General features: G+C 46.4%; 2 long non-coding RNA genes across 2 annotated transcripts; both read left to right on the top strand.

The window, feature by feature from the left end:
- Window positions 1-10,393: 10,393 nt before the first annotated feature.
- On the top strand, window positions 10,394-14,037 carry TTTY21 (testis expressed transcript, Y-linked 21). Its single transcript, NR_001535.1, has 2 exons — window positions 10,394-10,595; window positions 13,933-14,037. It is a non-coding gene; the product is annotated as a testis expressed transcript, Y-linked 21 (long non-coding RNA).
- Window positions 14,038-16,427: 2,390 nt separating this feature from the next.
- TTTY7B (testis expressed transcript, Y-linked 7B) lies at window positions 16,428-24,866 on the top strand. Its single transcript, NR_003592.1, has 6 exons — window positions 16,428-16,464; window positions 17,406-17,567; window positions 19,875-19,949; window positions 20,638-21,114; window positions 23,032-23,145; window positions 24,621-24,866. It is a non-coding gene; the product is annotated as a testis expressed transcript, Y-linked 7B (long non-coding RNA).
- The last annotated feature ends 1,820 nt before the right edge of the window (window positions 24,867-26,686 follow it).

The following is a 26,686-nucleotide window of genomic DNA, read 5'->3' as shown; positions in this document are numbered from 1 at the left end:
TATTTTATTGAGGATTTTTGCATCAATGTTCATCAAGGATATTGGTCTAAAATTCTCTTTTTTGTTGTGTCTCTGCCAGGCTTTGGTATCAGTATGATGCTGGCCTCATAAAATGAGTTAGGCATGATTCCCTCTTCTTCTATTGATTGGAATAGTTTCAGAAGGAATGGTATCAGTTCCTCCTTGTACCTCTGGTAGAATTTGGCTGTGAATCCATCTGGTCCTGGACTTTTTTTGGTTGGTAAGCTATTAATTATTACCTCAATTTCAGAGCCTGTTATTGATCTATTCGGAGATTCAACTTCTTCCTGGTTTAGTCTTGGGAGAGTATATGTGTTGAGGAATTTATCCATTTCTTCTAGATTTTCTAGTTTATTTTTGTAGAGGTGTTCATAGTATTCTCTGATGGTAGTTTGTATTTCTGTGGAATCAGTGGTGATATCCCCTTTATCATTTTTTATTGCATCTATTTGATTCTTCTCTCTTTTCTTCTTTATTAGTCTTGCTAGCAGTCTATCAATTTTGTTGACCTTTTCAAAAAACCAGCTCCTGGATTCAAAGCAGTGTGTAGAGGGAAATTTATAGCACTAAATGCCCACAAGAGAAAGCAGGAAAGATCTACAATTGACACCCTAACATCACAATTAAACGAACTACAGAAGCAAGAGCAAACACATTCAGAAGCTAGTAGAAGGCAAGAAATAACTAAGATCAGAGCAGAACTGAAGGAAATAGACACACAAAAAACCCTTCAAAAAACAGTGGGGTATAGGCTTCAAAAGGCTCACCCCTACAACATCTAGGCATGCCTGAGTCATCCTGCAGATCCTTTTAGATCCTTATGGATTTCATGGTTTATTGCTGAAGCTCTGCTTGATGTTTCTTCAGGCTTGTTCACATCTGCCCTCTTCTAGGATCATGGGACTATCTCGAGGATCCACACCTCCACAGAAGTCTCCTTCTCAGCTGCCAAGATGCAGAGACTTAGGCAACTATGACATTCATGGTGATGCTAGCCAGAGCTCAAAGCTAAGGCCTTGTGCCCCTGACACTAGCGAATATGCATTTGCGAGGATGGCTCATGCACACAGCTCTCAGACCTGTTAGCCTAGGCAGAGGAAAATGGTACAAGTAGAGCCAGCTTTGTATTTAGAAAAAGGCTGCCTGAGATAACACACTGCGGTACTCTAAATGTCTTCAACTTAGGACCACGTCTTGTGATCTACATGGTCGGGTCCCACTGGAGTATGAAGCATTCCAGGACTGTGAAGTGGTGGCTGGAAACTGCTCTTCTGACTTCATTTCCAAAAGAAACTGTATGCAAGAATCTGGTCCCAAGGGGATTGGAATATAGTACGGTGAGTTTCCTTGTTGGCGGCAGTAATGGCAATTTACAATTTTAAAAATATCAAACCTGCCGAGTCATTAAAACATAACTGTGTTTAGAAGGAAACACTCATGCAATGGATTCCTAAGAGGGTTATTCTCCATGCAGGGGGAAACCTTTAGTGTGCAAGTGATTAAGCCAGACTCAGGAAACTGTAGGCTGACAAGGAACATGGAAGTCAGGAAAAGAAGAGAAAAGTGGCCACATCCCATTCAACATCAATCCTTTCCACTCCCATTTGGTTCTGGGTATGAAAACCCTCAAATTGGGAGTTTGCCAAAACAGCCCCAATTTGCAGTCCAACTTTTCCTGAAATATTGGAGGACTCCATCTGAACACTGGGTCATTTTATGGACTGCTTGTGCAATTAAAAGAATGTGGGAATGGTGTTGGAAACACCTTCTGTGTCATGTAATTTTTTTTGCAGGTGAAGTTGCAGAACCCCATTTACTCCTCATCAGATTGTATCTTCCCTCCTATCTGACTTTATTGCTGCTCACACTCTATGTCCCAGAAGGAAATCCCAAAATGATGGAGGAGTGTTTCCTCATGATGTGAAGTGCCTGCTGGGCTGGGAATTTCAAGGTATATTCAAGGGGACCTGCAGACAGGACTGCTAGTGTCTCTCTGTGTGTTGGCCACAGGAAAATAAAACACTGGGAGATGTCTCTTTTTTGGTGTGGTGTGCCCTCTTCTTTCTAGAAGAGTCAATTTTCTTGCAGGGTGAGCTGACTTGGATGCCTGCAGGTATCAGCCCACCTTCCAATTCACTGTGGATTAATAATCCATAGAACACGGAGCTCTGGACCCCAAGCAGAGACACACAGAAAGGCCACCAAAAGGTTTTGAGTCCCCCACCAAAAAAGTGCTGAAATTCATTAGCCATACTTCTTTAAGCAGACTCCACTAACAGGCACACACACACACAGGCATGCATGCAAACACACACACACCAAGCCACAAACACAGAAAGACATCTAACACTTGCAGAAAACACTCCCATGGAAACACAGCCTGGCAGCTTCTGATGCTGCCTGGTTCTGCAGGAAGCCCCCACTGGGAGAGAGCAAACCTAGGGAACATAGTTGGGCTGTAACTAGAAATCACAATGGGACAAGTTTCAAAAAGATTGACCCTACAATCTCTAGGCAAGCCTGTGGCATTGTGCAGATTTTTTTTTTTTTGTATGCATAGGGATTTCTTGGTTTATTTCCAGCGCTCTTCTTGACATTTCTTCAGGCTGGCTCACATCTGCCCTCTCAAAGCATCATGGGACTATTCCTTGGATCCCACAGGGAAGACAGGGGAAAATCCACAGCCAAAGCATCTCCACGAAGGTCTCCGTTTCTGCCAAGCTGCAGGGAGTTGTCACTAGGTAAAGGTGGCATTCACTGTGACTCTAGCCAGAGACCACAGCTCAGGCCTGGTGCCCTGAGACAAGCACATGGGCATTCACGAAGCCAACTCTCAAAGCTGTCAGACTGCCTAAGCAGAGGAAAATGATACAGGCAGAGAATGTTTGGTATCGGGAAAAAGGCTGCCTATTATAAGCTACTGTGGGATCCTAAAAGTCTCCACCTGAGGGCTGCCTTCAGGCTGAGGCATTTCCAGACTCTGAGGTGGTTACTGAAAACTACTCTTCTGACTCCATTTTTGAAAGAGTCTGTGTGCAAGAATCGGGTCCCATGGGGATTGGAATATAGTCTGGTGTGTTGTTGAGGGGTCTTTAGCTGACAAAATCAAACCTGAGACATCAGAGGTGGGTGTCAGTGAAAGATGACTGGGTTCTTAACCTCACTTCCTCCCTTCACCCTGGGCCTCACTGCCGCTCTCTGGGAAAGCCAGGAACAACAACAAAGGAAAGTCCAAGGTGGAGCAGCATTCTCACACCTCGAAAGGCCAATCATGCATTCAGATGATGCTAAGAGAATGTCTCAAATGCCCTCTGTGGTGATTGCCAGCCTGAAAAAAGTACTCAGTACTGCTGTTAAGGGACACAGTGAACCACACATGAAAGGAATGAAAAATCAAGGCTCTCCTGAGAGAATGAGCCGATTTGTGCTGGAGTCCTAGCAATGTTTCAAGATTCCCATCAGAGGACCCAAATCCTCCTGCAAAATTCAAACAACGTCAGCGTCCACATACAGACCATGACCCATAACCTGGAGCACAGAAGCCTATGCAAATTCCCTTTTGCTCCCTGAAATCTCTGGCTGCCAAAAGATCTGTGGCAAGAGGCAGTCCCATCCAGCAACAACCCAATGAAAGACACCCTCCACAATGAGAAAGTACGTGCAAATGAAATGAAACAGATCGTAGTTTACCAGTTAAAAGCCAGACACGATGGCCTGCTTGTCATCCTACAGGAATCATGCAGCCCTCCAATAGAAGTGGGAGAAAAAGACTTTCCTTGTTGGTGGCTGTAATGGGAATTTATGGTGTTAAAATATCACAGCTGCCCAGTCATTAAAATGTGACAGTGTTTAGAAGGAAACACTAGGGATTCCCATGAGGGTTGTCCTCCATGAAGTGAAAACATTTAGCGTGAAAGACTTGGAGCCAGACCCAGGAAAACCTAGGCCCACGAGAAACATGGAAGTCAGAAAAAGAAGAGGCAAGTGTGGAGGCCACATCCCACCCACCTTCAATCCATCTCACTCCCACTTGGCTGTGGAGATGAAAGCCCTCAAATCTGGAGTTTGCCAAGATATCCCCAGTTGCAGTCCAAATGTTCCCTGAACTTTGGAGTACTTCCAACTGAACACCATGCCATGAGGTTGAAAGCACCTTTTGTGTCATCTGTCTTCATTTCTCTTGCAGGTAAAGTTGTGTCACCCATGCACCCCTCACCAGATTGTATCATCACCCCTATTTGACCTTATTGCTCTCCACACTCTATGTCCCAGGATGAAATCCCAAAATGATAAAAAAATGTGCCCACCCCCCACAACATATGAATCACCTGTTCGGCTGGGATGCGAATTCGAGGTTAATTTAAGAGGCCCTGTGGACTGGAATGCTAGTGTCTCTCCTGGGTTGGCCAAAAGACAATAAAACACTGAAAGATATCTCTTTCTTGTGTAGTGTGCTCCTCTTCTTTCTGGAAGGGTGGTTTATGGCACACACAATGCCACATACAGACTCAGACATCCAACATTCGCAACACTCCCACAGAAACACCCAACCCAACAACTACTCAGGATGCATTGTTGTGCAGGAAACACCATGTGGGAGAGAGCCCCACAGCCCAAGCAGAGTCACACAGACAAGCCAACAAAAGTTTGGGAGACACAAAAAAAGGAAGTGCTGAAGTGCATTACCAACATTCCTTTAAGCAGACTGCACTTACAATCACACACACACATACATGCAAACACAAAATGTCACACACACACACACACAGACATCCAACACCCACAACACTCCACCAGAAATGTTTGGAGGCAAAAAAAAAAAAAAGAAGAAGCACTGAGTACATTAGTCACATTATTTTAAGCACACTCCACTTACAGGCACACAAACACACACAATGCCACAGACACATGCAGACATCCAAGACTTGCAACACTCCTGCAAAATAAGTAAATAAATAAATAAATGTTGGGCAGCTCCTGTCGCTGTGTGGTTCTGCAGGAATCCTAATCTGCAAGAGACCAACACCAAGAAACACAGGGGAACTGTACCTAGAAATTACAGTGGGACAAGTTTCAAAAAGACTCACGCCTACAATGCCAGACCTGAGGATTCCTGTGTATACTTTTGGATCCTTTGGGATTTCACAGTATATTCCTGGAGCTGTGGTTGATGTTTCTCCAGGCTAGGATCATGGGACAATCCCATGGATACCACGGAGACTAGTGCCTGTGCATTCATGAGGAAGGATCAGGCACCTGTCTCTCAGAGCTGTCAGCCTGCTTAAGCAGAGGAAAATGGTACAGGCAGAGCTGGCCTGGCATGGCCAGAAAAACTGCCTGTGATAACCCACGGCCAGACCCAAAAAGTCTAGACCATAGGACTGTTTTGGGCAGTCTCCGGGGTCAAGTTCTGCTGAAGGAGTTGTTTTGAGACTGTGAACTGTCTTTGCAACCTGCACCTCTGCCTTCATTCCCCAGAGAGGCTGTGTGCAAGATTCCATTCCCATGGGGATTGGAATATGTCTGGTTAGTTTTTGATGGGTCCTTTGGTGATGGAACCATAACTGAGACCCAAGAGGCAGATGTCAGCAAAAGATGGCCAGCCCCTTGATTTCACTGCCTCCCTTCATCCTGGACCTCACAGAGACTCTTGGGGAGAGATAGGAACCACAACAAAATCAAGTCCAAGATAAAGTGTTTGCACACCTCAAACTGGCCTCTCACAGGTGCAAATGAGGTTGAGACACCATATCAGAGGCCGTCTGTGGCAACTGCAAGCCAGAAAAATTGTGTCCAGTAGGGCTGATGCAGAGCAATGTGGGCCTCCCATGAAAGCAAACATAAATGAAGGCTCACCTGAGAGAACAAGCTGACTTGTGCGGGAGTCTAAGCAATGTTGAAAGATTTTTGCCAGAGGATTTAAAAGCCTCCTGCAAATGCCAAAAAACATCAGCCCCCACAAGGAGACCATGGCCCACAACCTACAGCATAGTCAGCATAGAAAAAATCCTTTTTGGTTCCTGAAGTTTTTGGCAGCCAAATGATTTGTAGCAAGAAGCAGTCCCATTCAGCAAGAGCCAATGAAAGATCCACTCCACATCGTGGAAGGACTTGCAGATGAAGTAAAACAGAGCCAAGATTACCAGGCAAATACATACATGGCTGCCTGCTTCTTATCCTACAGGAATCATGTAGCCCTTTGATAAAAGTGGGAGAACAAGGTTTTTCATGTTGGCGGCTGTATCGGGAATTTACGCTTTAAAAATATCACAGCTGCCCGGTCATTAAAACGTAACAGAGTTTAGAAAGAAACACTCAAGCAATGGATTCCCATGAGGGTTGTCCTCCATGAACTGGGAAATTTTAGTGTGGAAGACATGGAGGAAGACCCAGGAAACCATTGGCTGAAAAGGAACATGGAAGTCAGGAAAAGAAGAGGCAAGTGTGGAGGCCACAGACCACCCAGCATCAATCAATCACACTCTCATTTGGCTCCAGGTATGAAAGCCCTCACATTGAGGGTTTGCCAGAATGGGCCCAGTTTGTAATGTTCCCTGAACATTGGAGTACTTTCACCTGAACTCTGGGCTAAGGAGTTGAAGGCACGTTCCATGCCATTTTTCTTCATTTTATTTGCAGGTGATGTTGCAGAACCCCATGTACCCCTCACCAGAATGTATCCTCACGCCTAAATGACCTTATTGCTGCTCACAATTTATGTCCCAGGTTGAGATCCCAAAATGATGGCGAATTGCCCCCCAAAGATGTGAATCACCTGATCGGCTAGGAACAAAACTCAAGGTAAATTCAAGTGGCCCTTTGGACAGGACTGCTTGTGTTTCTCCCTGGGTTGGCCACAGGACAATGAAACATTTGGAGATGTCTCTTTTCTAGAAAAGCTCCTCTTCTTTCTAGAAGAGTGGCTTTTTTGGCACACACAGTGCCGCGCACACACACACACACACACTCAGATATCCTAGACTACAACACTCCCACAGAAACACACAGCCCAGCAGCCACTGAAGTTGTGTTGTTGTGCAGGCAGCACCACCTGGAAGAGAGCCCTATAGCCCAAGCAGAGCCAAACGGACATGCCACCAAGGGTTGGGAGACTCAAAAAAATAAAAAAAAGGAAGTGCTAAAGTGCATTAGCAACATTCCTTTAAGTAGACTCCACTTACAGTCACACACACACAAACACACAATCGTACACACATAGTTATCCACCAGAAAGGTTTGGAGACTAAAAAAAGAAAAAAAGATGAAGAAGTGCTGAAGTGTTTTAGCCTCATTATTTTAAGTACACTCCACTTACAGGAACACACATACAGAAATACACAATACCACACACAAAGGCAGACAAGCAACATCACAACACTTCCACAGAAAAACAAATTCCAGCACCAACTTAGGCTGTGTGGTTCTGCAGGGATTCCCACCTTGGGGAGAGTAACCCCAAGAAATACAGGCAGGCTGTACTTCACAGTGGGGCATGTTTCAAAAAGATTCCCTTCTACAACATCTAGGTAGGCCTGAGAAATCCTGCAGATCCTTTTGCATCCTTAGGGATTTTGCAGATTATTTCTGGGGCTGTGCTTGACCTTTCTACAGGCTGGCTCACATCTGCCCTCTCCTAGCATCATGAGACAATCACGTGGATACCACAGAGAAGACAGGCATGAGTCCACCGATGACACACCTCCAAGGAGGTCTCCTTCTCCGCCAAGCCACAGGGACTTTTTGCTAGGCAATTGTGACATTCATTGTGATTCTAGCCAGAGCTCACAATCAGGCCTGATTCTGTGAGACTAGCACACATGCATTCATGAGGCAGGTCAAGCAGCCAGCTGTCAGAACTGTCAGCTTGCCTAAGCAGAGGTAAATGGAACAGGTAGAGCCAGCCTGGTATCAAGAAAAAGGCTGTCTCTGAAAACCCACTGCAGGATGCTAAATGTCTCAACCTCAGGGCCCCTTCGGGTCATCTCTGTGGTTGGATCCCGGTGGAGGAAGAGGCATTTTGAGGCAGTGAGCTGGTCACTGTCCATTCCAGAAAGAGGGTATGTGCAAGAATCTGGTCCCCTGGGGATAGGAATGTGCTTGGGTGTATTGTTGAGGGTTCCTTGGGCGATAGAATCATACCTGAGTATCTAGAGGCAGGTGTTAACAAAAGACAGCAGTGCTCTTGACCTCACTGCCTTCCTTGATCCTGGGCCTCACAGGGGCTCATTGTGAAAGACAGGAGCAACAACAAGGGCAAGGTGGAGCAGTGTTCTCATATCTTGGACTGGGCTTTCACCCATGAAGGTGAAGTTGAGACAGGGTCTCAGCGGCCATCTGTGGGGATGGTAAGCCTGAAAGTGGTGTCCTGTTGTGCTGTTGAGGGGCACTGTGAACTCCCCTGGAAAGCAAAGACAAATCAAGGCATACCTGGGAGAATGAGCTGCCTTGTTCCGCGGTCCAGATGATGTTCATGATTCCTGTCAGAGGACCCAAAATCCTCTTGCAATTTGGAAACCACATCAGTTTCAACAATGAGACAAGGACCCACCTCCTTGAGCATAGGCAGACTACTTGAAGTCCCATTTGCTGTTTGAAATCACTGGCAGCTAATCTGTGGCCAGAGGCAGTCTCATCTAGCAATAGCCTAATGAAAGAGCCCTTCCATGATGAGAAGCCCGTCCAGATGAAATGAAACAGAGGATAGATTACCAGGCAAAAGCAAGACATGGCTAAGTGCTCATCCTACAGGAATTATGCAGCCCTCCAATAGAAGTGGGAGTTTCCTTGGTGGTGGTGGTGGTAATGGGAATTTATGATTTTAAAAGTATCAAAGCTGCCCAGTCATTAAAACTTGACAGTGTTTAGAAGGAAACACTTATGCAATGGATTCCCATGATAATCATTCTCCATGAACTGAGAAACGTTTAGTGTAGAAGTGGTTGAGCCATACCCAGGAAACCCTAGGCCAACAAGAAACATGGAAGTCAGTGAAAGAAGAGGCAAGTCTGGAGGCCACATCCCACCCAGCATCCATCAATTCCACTCCCATTTGGCTTTGAGTATGAAAGCCCTCAAATCGGGAGTTTGCCAGGTTGGCCCCAATTTGCAGTCCAAATATTTTTTGCACATTGGAGTACTCTCACTTGAACACCGAGCCATGTTGTTGTCTGCTTGTGCAATTAAGGGAATGCGGGGATGGAGTTGGAAACACATTCTGTGTCACCTGTCTTCACTATTTTTACAGGTGTAGTTGTGGGACCCCATCCACCCTGACCAGATTGTATCCTCATCCCTATTTGACCTTATTGCTGCTCACTCTCTATGTCCCAGTATAAAATCCCAAGACTGTGGTGGAGTGCCCCCTCATGACATAAAGCACCTCCTCAGGTGGGAAACAAATTTGAGGTAAATTCAAGTGGCCCTGCAGACAGGACACTTAATGTCTCTCCCTCGTTTGGCCAAAGGACAGACAATGAAACACTGGGCAATATCTCATTTTTGGTGTGACGTGCTCCTCTTCTTTTTAGAAGATTGGCTTTTTTTGGTACGGAGAGATGACTTGGACACAGACATCTCTCGACCTGCCTCCCAATTGACTGCGGATTTATGATCTTCCAAAAAATAAAGAACACAGGGACCCATAACCCAAGCAGAGCCACACAGCCAAGCCAACAAAGTGTTGGAAGAAAAAAAAAAAGAAGAAGCTCAGAAGTGTGTCAGCCACATTATTTTAAGCAGAGCCACTTACAGGCACACACACACACACACACACACACACACACACAAACACGATGCCAAAAACACACACAGACATCCAACACTCACAACACTCCCACAGAAAAATACAGCCTGGCAGCACCTGAGACTGTGTGGTTCTGCAGGAATCCCGACCTAGGAGAGAGCAACCCCAACGAACACAGGGCAACTGTACCTAGAAATCATTGTGGGACAAGTTTCAAAAAGACTCACCCCTAAAACTTCTTGGCAGGCCCATGAAATCTTGCAGACATTTTTGGATTCTTAGGGTTTTCAATGTTTATTCCTGGGATCAGCTTTACCTTTCTTCATGCTGGTTCACATCTACCCTATCCTAGGGTAATGAGACTATCCAGTAAATCTCACAGAGAAGACAGGTGACAGTCCACTGCCCACACAACTACATAGAGGTCTTCTTCTCTGGCAAGCCACGGGCATTGTAACTAGGCAATGGTGACATTTATTGTGATGCTAGCTAGAGCTCACAATCAGGCCTGGTATCCTGAGAGTAGCCCATGCACATTTTAAGGCAGGCTCAGGTAACCAACTCTCAGGGCTGTCATCCTGACTAAGCAGAGGAAAATGGTACAGGCAGAACTGAACTAGGGTGGGATAAAAGGCTGCCTGAGATAACCCACTGCCTTACCCAAAAGGTCTAGACTCTAGAGCCCTTTTGGGCAGTCTCCATGGTCAGGTCCAACTGAAAGAGGAGTCATTTTGAGACTGTGAGGTGGTCGCTGCAATCTGCTCCTCTGTCTCCATTCCAAAAAGAGACTGTGTGTAAGAGTCTGCTCTCTTGGGGATTGGAATACCATCTGGTGAGTCTTTGAGGTGTCTTTGGGTAATGAAATCATCACTGAGACCTAAGAGGTGGGTGTCAGCAAGAGATGGACAGGCCCTTGACCTCACTGCCTCCCTGCATTCTGCTTATCTCAGGGGCCCTCAGGGAAAGGCAGGAACCATGACAAAGGCAAGTCAAAAATAAAGCATTGTTCTCACACTTCAAACTGGCCTCTCACGGGTGTAGATGAGATTGAGACATTGTATCAGAGGTCGTCTGTGGCAATTGCAAGCCAGAAAATGGTGTCCAGTAGTGCTGATGAGGTGCAAAGTGGACCCCCCATGAAAGCAAAGAAAAATGAAGGTTTGCCTGAGAGAACAAGTAGACTTGTGTGGGAGTTCAAGCGATATTCAAAGATTTTTGTCAGAGTACCCAAGAGCCTCCTGCAAAGCATAAACAACATCGGCTCCCCAACAAGGAGACCACAACACACAACGTGGAGCATAGCCAGTCTACACAAAGTTCTTTTTGCTTCCTGAAATTTCTGGCAGCCAAAAGATCTATAGCGAGTGGCAGTCCGATCCAGCAAGAGCCAATGAAAGATCCACTCCACAGTGAAGAAGGACATGCAGATGAAGTGAAACAAAGCCAAGTTTACCAGGCAAATGCAGAATGGCTGCCTGCTTCTCCTCCTACAGGAATCATGCAACCCTATGTTAAAAGTGGGAGAACAAGAATTTCCATGTTGGCAGCTGTAATGGAAATTTAAGCTTTTAAAATATCACAGCTGACAACTCATTAAAACATGACAGAGTTTAGAAAGAAACACTCATGCAATGGATTTCCATGAGGGTCTTCCTCTGTGAACTGAGAAACTTTTGGTATGGAAGATGTGGATCCAGACCCAGAAAACCTTAGGCTGAAGAGGAATATGGAAGGCAGAAAAAGAAGAGCAAGTGTATAGGCCACATACCACCCAGCATCAATCCATTACACTCTCCTTTGGCTCTGGGTATGAAAGCCTGCACATCAGGAGTTTAAAAGGATGGCCCCAGTTTATACTTGAAATGTTCCCTGCATGTTGGAGTACTTCCAGCTGAACACCTGGCTATGGAGTTGGAAGCACCTTCTGGGTCATCTGTCTTCTTTTTTTTTTTGCAGGAGATGTTGTGAGACCCCATGCACTGCTCACCAGATTATATCCTCAACACTACCTGAACTTATTGCTTCTCATTATGTTCGAGGATGAAATTTCAAGGCAATGCTGGAGTGGCCACTCACAACATGAAGCACATGCTTGGCTGTGAACCAAATATGAGGTAAATTCAAGCAGCTCTGAAGACAGGACTGCTAGTGTTTCTCCCCGGGTTCACCACAGGACAATGAAACACTGGGAGATGCCTTATTTTTGGTGTGGTGTGCTCCTCTTCTTTCTAGGAGAGTGGCTTTTTTTGCAGGGGGAGGTGACTTAGATGCCAGCATATTTCGACTTGCCTCCCAATTCACTGCAGATTCATGATCCACAGAAAAATAAAGACCATGAAGCCCTGCAGCCCAAGCAAAGCCACAATGACCACACAACAGAATGTTGGGAGATTCGAAAAAGAAGTGCTGAAGTGCATTAGCCACATTATTTTAAGCATACTCCACTTACAGGCACATACACACACACACACAATGCCACACACACACACAAACAACACTCACAACACTCCCACAGATAAACACACACTGGCAGCTACTGAGGCTGCATGGTTCTGCAGGAATCCCCACCTTGGAGAGAGCAACCCAAAAACAATCGGGATATACTTAGAAATCACTGTGGGGCAAGTTTCAAGAAGACTTACCCCTACAATGTCTAGGCAGTCCTGAGGAATCCTGCAGATCTTTTGCATCCTTGGGGATTTTGTGGTTTATTCCTGCGGCTCTGCTTGACGTTACTTCAGGCTGGCTCACATCTGTACCCTCCTGGGAACATGGGATTATCTCATGGATCCCACAGAGAAGACAGGCAACAGTCCAAAGCCAACACACTTCCATGGAAATCTTCTTCTCCAACAAGACACAGGGACTTGTTGCTAGGCAATGGTGACATGTATTGTGATGCTAGCCAGAGCTCAGAATCAGGCCTTGTGCCCTGAGACTAGCACATGCACATTTGTGAGGGAGGCTTAGGTACTGTGCTGTCAGAGCTGTCACCCTATCTAAGCACAGAAAAATGGTACAGGCAGAGCAAGCCTGGTATCAAAAAAAAAGGCTGCCTGCAAACCTCCACTTCAGGACCCTAAAACTGTCAAACTGATGGACTCTCCAGTCCATCTTGGTGATCGGGTCATGCCAGAGGCAGAAGCTTTATGTTACTGTGAGGTGGTCACAGGAAACTGCTCTTGTGACTCCATTCAGGAAAGACCTATGTGCAAGAATCGGGTCCAGCGGGGATTGGCATATAATCTGGTGTGTTGTTGAGGGTTCTTTTGGTGATAAAATAATACCTCAGATCCCAGAGTTTGGTGTTAGTGAAAGATGTCCAGGTTCTTGACCTCACTTCCTCCCTTTATTCTGAGCCTCACAGGGCTCTCTGGGAAAAGCAGGAACCAAGACAAAGGCAATTCCAAGTTGGAGTGGTGTTCTTGTACCTCGGATTGGCCTCTCACTAGTGCATATGAGTATAGACAGTGTCTCAGAGGCTGTCTGTGGTGATGACAAGCCTTTAAATGGTGTCCAGTAGTGCTGTTGATGGGCACTGTGGATTCCCTGTGAAAGCAACAGAAAATCAAGGCTCACCAGAGATCAAGCGGTCTTGTGCTGGAGCCCAAGTAATGTTCAATGATTCCTGTCAGAGGACCCAAAACCATCCTCCAAAGTGCAAACATCCTCAACCCCCAAAAAGAGACAACAACCCAAAACCTGGAGTGCAGCCAGAATAGCCAATCTTTTTTATGGTCTCTCAAATCCCTGGCCACTTAATAATCTATGGTGAAAAGCAGTCCAATCTGGCAACATCCCAGTGAAAGAGCCCCTCCACAATAAGAAGGCCATGCAGATGACATGAAACAGAGGCTAGATTACCAGGAAAATGAAGACACTGCTGCCTGTTTCTCATCCTGCAGGAATCACGCAGGCCTCTGATAGAAGTGGAAGAATAAGAGTTTTCTTCTGGATGGCTTTAATGGGAATTTATGGTTTTAAAACTATCAAAGCGTCCCACTCATTAAAACATGACAATGTTTAGAATAAAACACTCACAAATGGATTTCCATGAGGATAATTCTCTATGAACTGGGAAACTTTCTGTATGTGTGCTCCCTTTCTGTCTAGAAGAGGGGGTTAGAGTGGTTTTTTTGTTTGTTTGTTTTTTTGTTTTGTTTTTGCAGGTGGAGGTTATTTGGATGCTGAAACATTTTGGCATGCTTCCCAATCCACTGCAGACTCATGAATGATTCACAGAAAAATAAAGAACACTGAGCAATACAGCCCAAGCCAAGCCACACAGACAGGCCACCAAAAGGTTGGGATACAAAAAAATGAAAGAAAGAAATGCTGTAGTGCCTTAGCCACATTCTTATAAGCAGACTCCACTTACAGTAACACATGCACAAACACACACAAACCCAATGCCACACAGACACACAGACATCAAACACACAGATATCCAACACTCACAACACTCCCACAGAAACACACAATCCAGGATCCCCTGAGGCTCTGTGGTTCTACAAGCAAACGCAGGCAGTCTGTAGTTAGAAATCACAGTGGTGCAAGTTTCAAGAAGACTCATCCCTACAATGTCTAGGCAGGCCAGAGGAATCCTGCTGATCTTTTTGGATCCTTAGGGATTTCATGGTTTATTCCTGGAGCTGTGCTTCAGGTTTCTTCAGGCTGCCTCATGTCTGCCCTCTCCTAGGATCATGGGACTATCCTGTGGATCTCACAGAGAAGACAGGCGATAGTTCACTGCTGACGCACCTCTACAGAAGTCTCATTCACCAAGCTGAAGAGACTTGTTGCTAGGTAATGGTGACATTTATGCTGATGCAAGCCAGAGTTCACAATGAGGCCTGGTGCCCTGAGGATAGTGCATGCACATTCGTGAGGCAAGCTGGGGAGCATGGCTGTCAGAGCTATCAGCCTGCCTAAGTAGACAATAATGGTACAGACAGAGTTGTCCTGGTATCAGGAAAAAGGCTGTCTGCAAAAACCCACTGAAGCACACTAAAACTCCCGACCTCAGGGACCCTTCAGGCCATCGTGGTGGTTAGGTTCTGCTGGAGGAGGAGGCATTTTGTGACTGTGAGGTGGTCGCTAGAAACTACTCTTCAGATTCCATTCCCAAAAAAGGCTGTGTGCAAGTATTGGGTACCATGGGGATTAAAATATAGTCTGATGTGTTCTTGAGGGTGTTTTGTGTGATAGGATCATACCTGAGACCCCAGAAGTGGGTGTCATGAAAAGATGGTCGGACTCTTAACCTCACTGCCTCCCTTCATCTATGACCTTGCAGGGGCTCTCAAGGAAAGACAGAAACTACAACAAAGGCAAGTCAAAGTTGGATCACTGTTCTCACACCTCATACTGCCCTCTCTTGGGTGAAGACGAGGTTAAAACAGTGTCTCAGAGGCCATTTGTTGGGATAGCAAGCCTGAAATGGGTGTCCAGTAGTGCTGTTAAGGGATAATGTAGATTCCTCATGAAAACAAAGAAAAATCAAGTCTCACCTAAGAGAACGAGCTGCCTTGTGCTGGAGTCCAAGTAGTGTTCAGTGATTCCTGTCAGAGAACACAAAAGCCTCTTGCCACGTGCAAATATTCTCAGCCCCCACAACAAGACAATGATAGGGAGTGTAGTCAGAGTACCCAATGTCCCTTTTGCTCTCTGAAATCCCTGGCAGCTAAATAATCCCTAGCCAGAAGCAGTCTCATCTAGCAACAACCCAATGAAAGAGACCCTCCACAAGAAGAATGCCATGCAGATGAAATGAAACAGAGGCTAGATTACAAGGAAAAAGACAAACACGGCTGCCTGCTTTTCATCCTGCAGGAATTATGCAGCACCTCGATAGAAATGGGAGAACAAGAGTTTTCTTATTGGTGGCTGTAATGGGAATTTACAGTTTTAACAATCTCAGAGCTTCATAGTCATTAAAACGTGACAGTGGTTAGAAGAAAACACTCAAGCAATGGATTCTCGTGAGGGTCGTTCTCCATGAACAGGAAAATATTTGTTGTGGAAGTTGTTGAGCCAGACCCAGAACACAGGCAAGAGTTCAATGCTAACGCACCTCCACGAAAGTCTCCGTCTCTGCCAAGCCTCAGGGACTTCTCAGTATGCAACAGTCACAGTCATTGTGATGCTAGCAAGGTCTCACAATCAGTCCTGGTGCCCTGAGTCTAGCGCATGCACATTTGTGAAACAGGCTCCGGTGCCCATTTGTCAGAGCTATCAGTCTGCCTAAGCAGAGAAAAATAGTACAGGCAGAGCGAGCTTGGTATCAGAAAAAGTCGTGACTGCAAAAACCCACTGCAGGACCCTAAAAGTCTTGATATCAGGGCCCCTTCGGGATGTCTCCATGGTCAGTTTTTGTTAGAGAAGAAGGCATTTTGAGACTGTGAAGTGGTCACTGGAAACAGCTTTTCTGACTGCATTCCCAAAAGAGAATATGTGTACAAGAATCAGGTCACATGGGGATTGCAATATAGTCTGGTGTGTGGTTGAGGATTATTTGAGTGATAGAATCTTACCTGAGACCAACCCCAGAGGTGTGTATCAGCAAAAGATGGCCGAGTTCTTGACCTCACTGCCTCCCTTCATCTTGGGACTAACAGGGGATCTCTGGGAAAGGCAGTTACCATGACAAGGCAAGTACAAGGAGGAGCAGTGTCCTCACGCATTGGACTGGCCTCCAATGGGTGCAGATGAGGCTAAGACAATGTCTCCGAGGCCATCTGTGGTTATGGCAAGCCTGAAAAAGGTGAATATTAGTGCTGTCAATATTCACTGTGAAATACCCATGAAAGCAAAGAAAAATCAAGACATTTCTTAACAGAATGAGCTGCCTTGTGCTGGAGTCCAGGCAATGTTCAGTGATTCCTGTCAGATAACTGAAAACTCTCCTGCAAAGTGCAATCTTAGCCCCTCAATAAGGCAACCACCCACAACCTGGATGGCAGGAGCCTGCCCAAAGTCCCTTTTGCCCTCTGAAATCCGTGGCAGCTAAATAATCTGTGGCAAGAGGAAGTCACATCGAGAAACAGCCCAGTGAATGAGCTCCTCCACAATGAAAAGGCTGTGCAGATGAAATGAAACAGAAGCTAGATTACCAGGCAAAGGCCAGACATGGATTCTCATCCTATAGGTATTATGCAGCCATTCGATAGAAGTGGGAGAAAAAGAGTTTCTTTGTTGGCAGTGGTAATGGGAATTTTCAGTTTTAAAATATCAAGCTTCCCAGTTATTAAAACATGACACTGTTTAGAAGGAAACACTCAGGCAATGGAGTCCCATGAAGATCATTCTCTGTGAACTGGGAAAGCTTAAGTGTGGAAGTTGTTGAACCAGTCACAGGAAACTCTAGGTGGATGAGGAACATAGAAGTCAGAAAAAGAAGAAACTGTGGAGGCCACATCCCACCCAGAATCAATTCATTCCATTGCATTGGTCTCCGAATATGAAAGCCCTCAAATCGGGAGTTTGCCAGGATGGCCCCAATTTGCACCCCAAATGTCCGTTGCCCGTTGTAGTATTCCCACCTGAACACCATGCCATTGTGTATACTGCTTGTGCAATTAAGGGAATGAGGGGATGAAGTTGGAAACACGTGCTTTAAACACTGTCTTTATTTTTATTGCAGGTGTAGTTACAGGGCCCCAACCACCTTTCACCAGATTGTATACTCACCTGTATCTGACCTTATTGCTACTCACACTCTAGGTCCCAGGATAAAATCCCAACATGATGGAGGAGTGCCCCCTCATTATGTGAAGCACCTGCTGGGCTTGGAACCAAATTCAGTGTAAGTTCAAGTGGCCCTGTGGAGAGGACTGCTAGTGTCTCCCCCTGTATTTGCTGCAGGAAAATAAAACAGTGAAAAATGTCTGGTTTTTTTGTTGTGGTGTGCTCATCTTCTTTCTAGAAATGTAGATTTTTCTGCAGGGGGAGGTGATTTGGATGCCAGCGGGATTTGGCCCACCTCCCAATTCATGTGAGATTCATAATTCACAGAAAAACAAAGCACACAAAGCTTTGCAGGCTAAGCAGAGACACAGACAGGCCACCAAAATGATGGGAGGCTCAAAAAAAAAAACACTGAAGTTTTTTAGCCACATTGCTTTAAGCAGACTACATTTACAGGCTCTCACACACACACTTACAAACACACACAGAAATACACAATGCCACACACACACAGAGACATCCAACATTTGCAACACTGCCACAGAAACACACAGGCCAGCAGCTCCTGAGGCTGCGTGGTTCTGCAGGTATCTCCACCTGGGCCAGAGCAACCTTGAGGAACACAGGCAGGCTGTACCTAGAAATCACAATGGGGCAAGTCTCAAAAAGACTCACCTCTACAATATCTAGGCATATCTGAGAAATGTTGCAGATGTTTTTGGATCATTAGAGATATTGTGGTTTAGTCCTGGGACCCTTCTTGACGTTACTACAGGCTGGCTTATGTATGCCCTCTCCTACTCTCATGGGACAATCCTGTGGATAACACAGAGAAGACAGGTGAGAGTTCATGACTGATGCACCTCCACAGAAGTCTCCTTCTTTGCCAAGATGCAGGAATTTTCACTAGGCAATGGTGAAATTCATTGTGGTGCTAGTTAGAGCTCACAATCAGGCTTGGTGTCCCAAGAGTAGTGCATGCTCTACAGCATGTGCTCTACAGCATGACAGCTCTAACAGCAAGCCCTGCTGTTAGAGCTGTCAGCCTGCCTAAGCAGAGGAAAATGATACATGCAGAGCCGAAAGGTATCCAGGAAAATGCTGCCTGTGATAACCCACTCTGGGACCCTAAAAGTCTCATCCTTAGGGCACCTAGGGCCATCTTTAATGGTCCCACAGGAGGAGGATGCATTTCTGGACTGAGTTGGTCATGAAAAACTGCTCTTCTGACTCCATTCCCAAAATGGGCTGTGTGCAAGAATTGGGTCCCATGGGGATTGGAATGTAGTCTGGTGGGTTGTTTAGGGGTCTTTGAATGATAGAATCATACCTGAGACCCCAGAGATGAGTGTCAATGAAAGACGACCAGGCCCTTAACCGCAGTGCCTCACTTCATCCTGGACCTCACAGGATCTCTCTCGGGTAAGCAGGAACCACACCTAGAACTGGCCTCTCACAGGTACAGATGAGGTTGAGACAGTGTCTCAGAGGCTGTCTGTGGCGATTGCAAACCTGAAAAGGGTGTCCGGTAGTGAGTGTCACTGTTGACCCCCCATGAAAGCAAGGAAAATCAAAGATCACATGAGAGAACCAGCTGCCTTTTGCTGGAGTTCAAGCAAAGTTCAAAGATTCCTGTCAGAGAACCCTAAAGCCTCCTGCAAAGTGCAAACATCCTCATCCCACATAATGAGAACAAGACCCAGAACCTGGGATGTGGCTAGCCTACCTGAAGTCCCTTGTGCTCCATGATATCCCTGTCAGCCAATAAATTTGTGATGAGAGGCAGCCCTATCCACCAACAGCACATTAAAGACCCCCTACACAATGAGAAAGGATGTGCACATAAAATGAAACACAGACCATATTACCAGGTGGAATCCAGACACAGCTGCCTGCTTCTCATCCTACAGGAATCATGCAGCCCTTCAATAAAACTTGGAGAACAGGAGTTTCCTTGTTGGCAGCAGTAACAGGAAGTTACTGTTTTAGAATTACCGCATCGCAGCTGCCCTGTCATTGAAACATGACAGGGCAGTAAGTGTTTAGAAGGAAACACTTACTCAATGGATTCCCCCCAAGGGTCACCTTCCATGAACTGGGAAACATTTAGTGTAGAAGACATTGAGCCATACCCAATCATCCTTAGGATTATGAGGCACATGTAAGTCAGGATAGGAGTTGGCCAGGGTGGCCCCAGTTTGCACTTCAAATATTCCCTGCACGTTGGAGTACTCCCAACTAAACACCAGGCCAAGTTGTGGACTGCTTCTGCAATTAAGGAAATGTGGGAATGCTGTTTGAAGCACCTTTTGTGTCACCTGTCTTTACATTTTTGCAGGTGAAGGTGCAGGTCCCCATCCACCCCTCATCAGGTTGTATCCTCACCCCTATCTGACCTTATTGCCATTCACACTCTATGACCCAGGATGAAATCCCAAGATGATGGAGGAGTGAACCCTGACGACAGGAAGTACCTGCTCACCTATGAACAAAATTTGAGGTAAATTCATGGGGCCCTGTGGACAGGACTGCTAGTGTTTCTCCCTGGGATAGCCACAGGACACTGACACACTGAAGGATTTCTGTTCTTGGGTATGGTGTGCTGCAGCTCTTCTTTCTAGAGAGTGGCTTTTTTTGTTTGTTTGTTTGGAAGTCATTTGTTATGTGGACCTCAGCGTGTCACAGCCAGCCTCGCAATTCACTGTGGATTCAGAAAAATAAAGAACAGGGAGGTCTACAGCCCCAGAAGAGCCATACAGACAGGGCATGAAAATGTTGGAAGTCTCAAATAAAAGAAGCTCTGCAGTGTGTGACCCACCTCCCTTTAAACAAACTCCGCTTACTGGCCCGCGTGCACACACACACACACTAAAACACACAAAGCCAAAAAGCCACACCACACCTAGACATCCAACACTTGCAACATGCCCTCAGAAACAGAGCCTGGCAGCATCTGAGGCTGTGTGTTTGTGCAGAAGGCCCCACCTGGGAGAGAGCAACCCCGGCAAACACAGAGCGCTCTACCTAGAAATCACAGTTGGGAAAGTTTCAGAAAGACTCAACCCTACAACTCCCAGGCAGGCCTGAGACATCCTGCAGATACTTTTGTAGCCTTAGGGACTTTGCAGTTTATTCCTTGGGCTCTGCTTGACATTTCTGCATGCTGGCTCATGTCTGCCCTCTCCTAGGAATATGGATGTATCCTGTGGATCCCTCAGAGAAGACAGGCAAGAGTCCACCACCAAGGCACCTCTATGGAGGTCTCCTTCTTGGCCACGCAGCCAGGACTGATCTCTATGTAATGGTGACATTCATTGTGATGCTAGCCAGAGCTCATAGTCAGGCCTGGTGCCCTGAGGCGTGCATGTGCATTTGAGGGCATGCTTGCTGGCCTGGCTTTCACAGATGTTAGCCTGTGGAAGCAGAAGAAAATGGTACACATAGAGCTGGCTCGGTATCCAGAAATAGGCTGCCTGCAATAATGCACTGCGGGACCCTACAATGCTCGAAGTTAGGGCGACTTCAAGCCGTCTCCCTGGTCAGCTCCTGCAGGAGTAGGAGGCATTCAGAGACTGAGGTGGTCGCTGAAATCTGTTCTTCTGATTCCCTTTTGGAAAGAGGCTGTGTGCAAGAATCCAGTCCCATGGGGATTGGAATGTAGTCTGGTGAGTTGAGGAGGGGTCTTTGGGTGATGGAATTATACCTGAGAAACTAGAATTGGGTGCCTATGAATGATGGTTGGGCCCTTAACCTCACTGTCTCCCATCATTCTGGACCTCGCAGGGTCTCTCTATGAAGCACAGGAACCACAACAAAGGCAGGTCCAATAGGGAGCAGTGTTCTCAAACCTCGAACTGGCCTCTCACCAGTGCAGATGAGGTTGAGATAGTGTCTCTGAGGCCATCTGTGGCCATGGCAAGACAGAAAAGGATGTCCAGTAGTGCTGTTGAGGGGCACTGTGGACTTCCCAGGAAAGCAAAGAAAAATCAAGGCTCGTGTGTGAGAAAAAGATGGCTTGTGCTAGAGTCTAAGCAACATTCAAAAATTCCTGTCAGAGAACTCAAAAAACTCCTGCAAAGTGCAAGCAACACATAACAAGACACTGATCCACAACCTGGAGTGCCACCAAACCTACCCAGAGTCTGTTTTGCTCCCTGAAATCCTTGGCAGCCCATAGATCTATTGTAAGAGGCAGCCCCATCCAGCAACAGCCCAATGAAAGACCACCTCCACAATGAGAAAGGATGTGCAGATGCAATGAAACAGAGCATAGATTACCAGGCAAAAGCCAAACACAGCTGCCTGCTTCTCATCCTACAGGACTCATGCAGCACTCCGATAAAAGTTGAAGAGCAAGAGTTTCCTTGTTGTTGGCTGTAACAGGAATTTATGGTTTCAAAATTATCACAGGGGCCAAGTCACTAAAACGTGACAGTGTTTAGAAGGAAACACTGGGAAAACTTTATCGTGGAATACATGAACCAGATCCAGGAAACCCTAGGCTGACAAGAAATACGGAAGACAGGAAAAGAAGAGGCAAGTGTGGAGGCCACATCCCACCTTGTGTCTATCATTCTCACTTTCAATGGGAGCCGAGTATGAAAGCCCTCAAATTTGCAGTTTGCCAGGATGGCCCCAGTTTGCACTTCAAATGTTCTCTGCATGTTGGAGTACTCCCACCTGAACACCAGGCCATAGTGTGAACTACTTGTGTAATTAAAGAAATGTGAGGATGCAGTTGGAATCACTTTCTGTGTCATCTGTCTTCACATTTTTTGCAATTGGAAGTGTGGGACCCCATCCACTTCTCACCAGATTGCATCCTTACCCCTTCTGACCTTATTGCTATTCATGTTCTCTTTCCCTAAATGAAATCCCAAGATGATCTAGGAGTTCCTTCTCAGGACGTGGAGCATCTGCTCAGCTAGGAAGCAAATTCAAGGTAAATTCAAGGGGCTGTGAGGACAGGAATGCTAGTGTTTCCTCCGGGGATGGCCATAGAACAAGGTAATACAGAGGGATGTCCTTTCTTGGATGTGGTGTGCTCCTCTTCTTTCTAGAAGAGTAGCTTTATTTGCAGGCAGAGGTGATGTGGACTTCGGTGTGTCACAGCCAGCCTCCCACTACACTTTGGATTCATGATCCAGAGCAAAATAAAAAACGTGGAGCCCTGCAGCCCAAGCAGAGCCACACAGACAGGTGAACTAAAGGTTGGGAGACAAAAAAAAAAAAGTTGCTGCAGTGCGTTAGCCACATTCCTTTAAGCAGACACAGTGCCAAAAAAGCCACACCCATAGGCAGACATCAAAGACTCAATACTTTCACAGAAACACACAGCTCGGCAGATTCTGAGGCTGCATGGTTCTGCAGAAAGCCTTACCTGGGAGATAACAACTCTGGGCAACACAGGCGGGTTGCACCTAAAAATCACAGTGGGTAAAGTTTCATAAAGACTCACCTCTGCACACCTAGGCAGGCCTGAGGCACCCTTCAGATCCTTTTGGAACCTTACGGATTTCGCGGTTTATTCCTGGGGTTTGCTTGACGTATCTTCCAGCTGGCTCTTGTCTGCTCTCCCCTAGGATCGTGGGACTATCCTGTGGATCCCACAGAGAAGAGAGAGGACAGTCCACCACTGATGCACCTCCACAGAGGTCTCCTTCTCCGCCAAACCTCACGGAATTGTGACATTCATGGTGAGGCTAGCCAGAGCTCACAGCTTAGGCCCGGTGCCCTGAGACTAACGCATGTGCATTTGTGGGTGGCTCAGCACCTGTGTGTCAGAGGAAAATGGTACAGGCAGGGCCGGCCTGGTACTGGGGAAAAAGCTGCTCCATGTGATAACCCACTGTGGAACCCTAAAAGTCTCAAACTTAGGGCCCCTTTCCGCCGTACCTGTGATCCGGTTCCACTAGAGGAGGAGGTGTTTAGACTGAGGGGGTTGTTGAGAACTTCCTGAAAGAGGCTGTGTGCAAGATCAGGTCTCATGGGGATTGGAAGGTTGTCTGGTGAGTTGTGGAAGGTTCTTTCAGTGATAGCATCATACGTGTGACCCTACAGGTGGGTGCCAGTGAAATATGACCAGGTTCTTAACCTCACTGCCCCCACCCATCCTGAGCCTCGCAGGGGCTCTTGTTGAAAGGCAGGAACCATGACAAAGGCAAGTCCAAGGTGGAACAGTATTCTCACAGCTCTAAGTGGCCTCTCACGGTTGCAGATGAGGTTGAGACAGTGTCTCAGAGGACATCTGTGATGATTGCAATCCTGAAAAGTTTGTCAGGTAGTGCTGTTAAAGGGCACTGTGGACCCCCCATATAAGCAAAGGAAAATCAAGGCTCACAGGAGAGAACGAGCTGTCGTGTGCTGTAGTCAAAGCAACATTTAGAGATTTCTGTCAGAAGACCCAAAAGCCTCTTGCAAATTGCAAATAATCTCAGCCCCCACAAGGAAACCATGACCCCAAACCTAAAGCACAGCCAGTCTACCCAAAGTCCCTTTTGCTCTCTGAAATCCCTGGCAGCCAATAAGTCTGTGGCAAGAGGTAGCACCATCCAGTAACAGCCCAATGAAAGAGCCCTCCACAATGAAAAAAGACCAGCAGATGAAATGAAACAGAGCCTAGCTTCCCAGGCAAAAGCCAGGTACAGCTGCCTGCTTCTCCTCCTACAGGTATCAAGCAGCTGTCTGATAAAAGCTGGATAAGAAGAGTTTCCTTCTTGGCTACTGTTACAGAAATTTATGGTTTTAAAACAATCAAAGTTGCCCAGTCATTAAAACCCAATAGTATTTAGAAGAAAACACTCATGAAATGGATTCCCTTGAGGGTCGTCTTCCATTAAGTGGTAAACATTTAATGTGGAATATGTACAGCCAGACCCAAGAAACCTTAGGCTGATGAGGTACATGGATGTCAGGAAAATAAGAGGTAAGTATGGTGTCCACATCAAACCTTACATCAAATGGCCTCACTCCCATTTGGCTCCTGGTATAAAGGCCCTCAAATAGGGAGTTTGCCAGGATGGCTCCAGTTTGCACTCCAAACATTCCCTGCATATTGGGGTGCTCCCAAATGTACACCAGGCCATGGTGTGGATGGCTTGTATATTTAAGGAAATGTGGGGATGCAGTTGGAAGCACCTTCTGTAACATCTGTCATCACATTTTTTTGCAGGCGAATGTGCGGGACCCCATCCATCCCTCACCAGCTTGTATCCTCAGCTTTATCTGAAGTTAAAAGTATCTTTCCCATAATGAAATCCAAAGATGATGGAAGAGTGCCCCCTCACGGTGTGGAGGTCCTGCTTGGCTAGCAACTGAATATGAAGTAAATTCAAGGGACCCTGTGGACCGGACTGCTAGTGTTTCTAAATGGGGTGTACACTGGACAATAAAACACTGAAAGATTTCTGTTCCTGAATTTCCTGTGCTCCTCTTCTTTCTAGAAGTGTGGCTTTGTTTGTTTGTTTGTTTTGTTTTTGTGGGGGGAGGTTATTTGGACCATGGCGGGTCTCATGCCATCTCTCAATTTATGGCAGATTCATGATCTGCAGAAAAATAAAGAACACAGAACCCAGCAGCCCAAGCAGAGCCACACAGATAGGCCACAAAAAGTTTGGGAGACTCAAAAACAAAGAAGAGCTACAGTGTGTTAACCACATTTTTTAAAGCAGATTCCACTTACAGACACACACACACACACAAACACAGACAACCAACACTGGCAACACTCCCACAGAAACACACTCCCAGCAGCTTCTGAAGCTGTGTGGTTCTGCAGGAAGTCCCACTTGGGAGAGAGCAATCCTGGGGAACACAGGCATGCTGTATGTAGAAACCACAGTGGGACAAGTTTCAAAAGACCCCCTGCAACGTCTAGGCAGGCCTGAGGCATCTGCAGACCCTTTAGCATAGTTAAGGAATTCACAGATTATTCCTGGGGCCCTGCTTGATGCTTCTTCATGCTGGCTCACATCTGCCCTCTCCTAGGATCATGGGACTATCCCAAGGATTCAACAAAGAAGAGAGGCGAGAGTCTACCGTGAAGCATCTTCATGGAGGTCTCCTTCTCTGCCAAGACACAGGGACTTTTCACTAGGAAAAGTGTTATTCATTGTGAGGCTAACTGGAGCTCACAGCTCAGGGGTGGTGCCCTGAGACTAGCACATGCACATTCACGAGGCAGGCTTAGGTGCTAGGCTGTCAGAGCTAAGCAAAGGAAAATGGTACAGGCAGATCCAGCCTCATATCGGGAGAAAGGCTGCCTGCGATAACCAACTGTGGGAACCTAAATATGTCAACCTTAGCACCCCTTCCATCCATCTCCTTGGTCGGGTCCCACTGGAGGAAGAGGTGTTTTCAGACTGTTAGGTTGTCATGGAAAACTGCTCTTCTGACTTCATTCCCGAAAGAGGCTATTTGTAAGAATCAGGTCCCATAGGGATGGGAATAGAGTCTGGTGAGTTGTTGAGGGGTCCTTTTATCATGGAATCATACGTGAGACTCCATAGGTGTTTGTCAGTGAAATATGGCCAAGCCCTTGTCCCCATTGCCTCTCTTCATTCTGGGCCCCCCAGGGGCTATCTGGGAAAGGCATGAACCACAACAAATGCAAGTCCAAGTTGGATCAGAGTTCTCAAACCTCAAAATGCCCTCTCACGGAGGCAGATGACGTTGAGACATTGTCTCAGAGGTCATCTGTGGCTATTGCAAGCCTGAAAATTGTGTCCTATAGTACTGTTGGGTGGCAATGGGGACACCCCATGAAAGCACAAAAAACTCACGGCTTGCCTGAGAGAAAGAGCTGACTTTTGTTGGAGTCCTAGCAACATTCAAAGACTCCTGTCGGCATACCCAAAAGCCTCCTGAGAAGTGCAAACAATGTCAGCCTCCACAACGAGACCATGATCCACAACTTGAAATGCAGCCAGCCTACCTGAAGGCCCTTTTGCTCCCTAAAATCGCTGGCAGCCAAAAGATCTGTGGTGAGTGGCAGTTACAACCAGCAACAGCTGAAAGACCCTCTCCACAATGAGAAAGGATCTGCAGTCGAAATGAAACAGACTATAGATCACCAGGCAAAAGTCAGACATGGCTGCATGCTTCTCATCCTACAGGAATCATGCAGCCATCTGATAGAAGAGGGAGAACAAGAATTTCCTTGTTGGTGTCAGTACTGGGAATTTATGGTTTTAAATACATTACAGATGTCCAGTCATTGAATTCTGACAGTGTAATCTG

Source organism: Homo sapiens, chromosome Y (assembly GCF_000001405.40).
Source record: "Homo sapiens chromosome Y, GRCh38.p14 Primary Assembly".
Lineage (NCBI taxonomy): Eukaryota > Metazoa > Chordata > Mammalia > Primates > Hominidae > Homo > Homo sapiens.
Note: the sequence above shows the minus strand (reverse complement) of the source record. Positions and strands in the feature narration are given on the sequence as shown.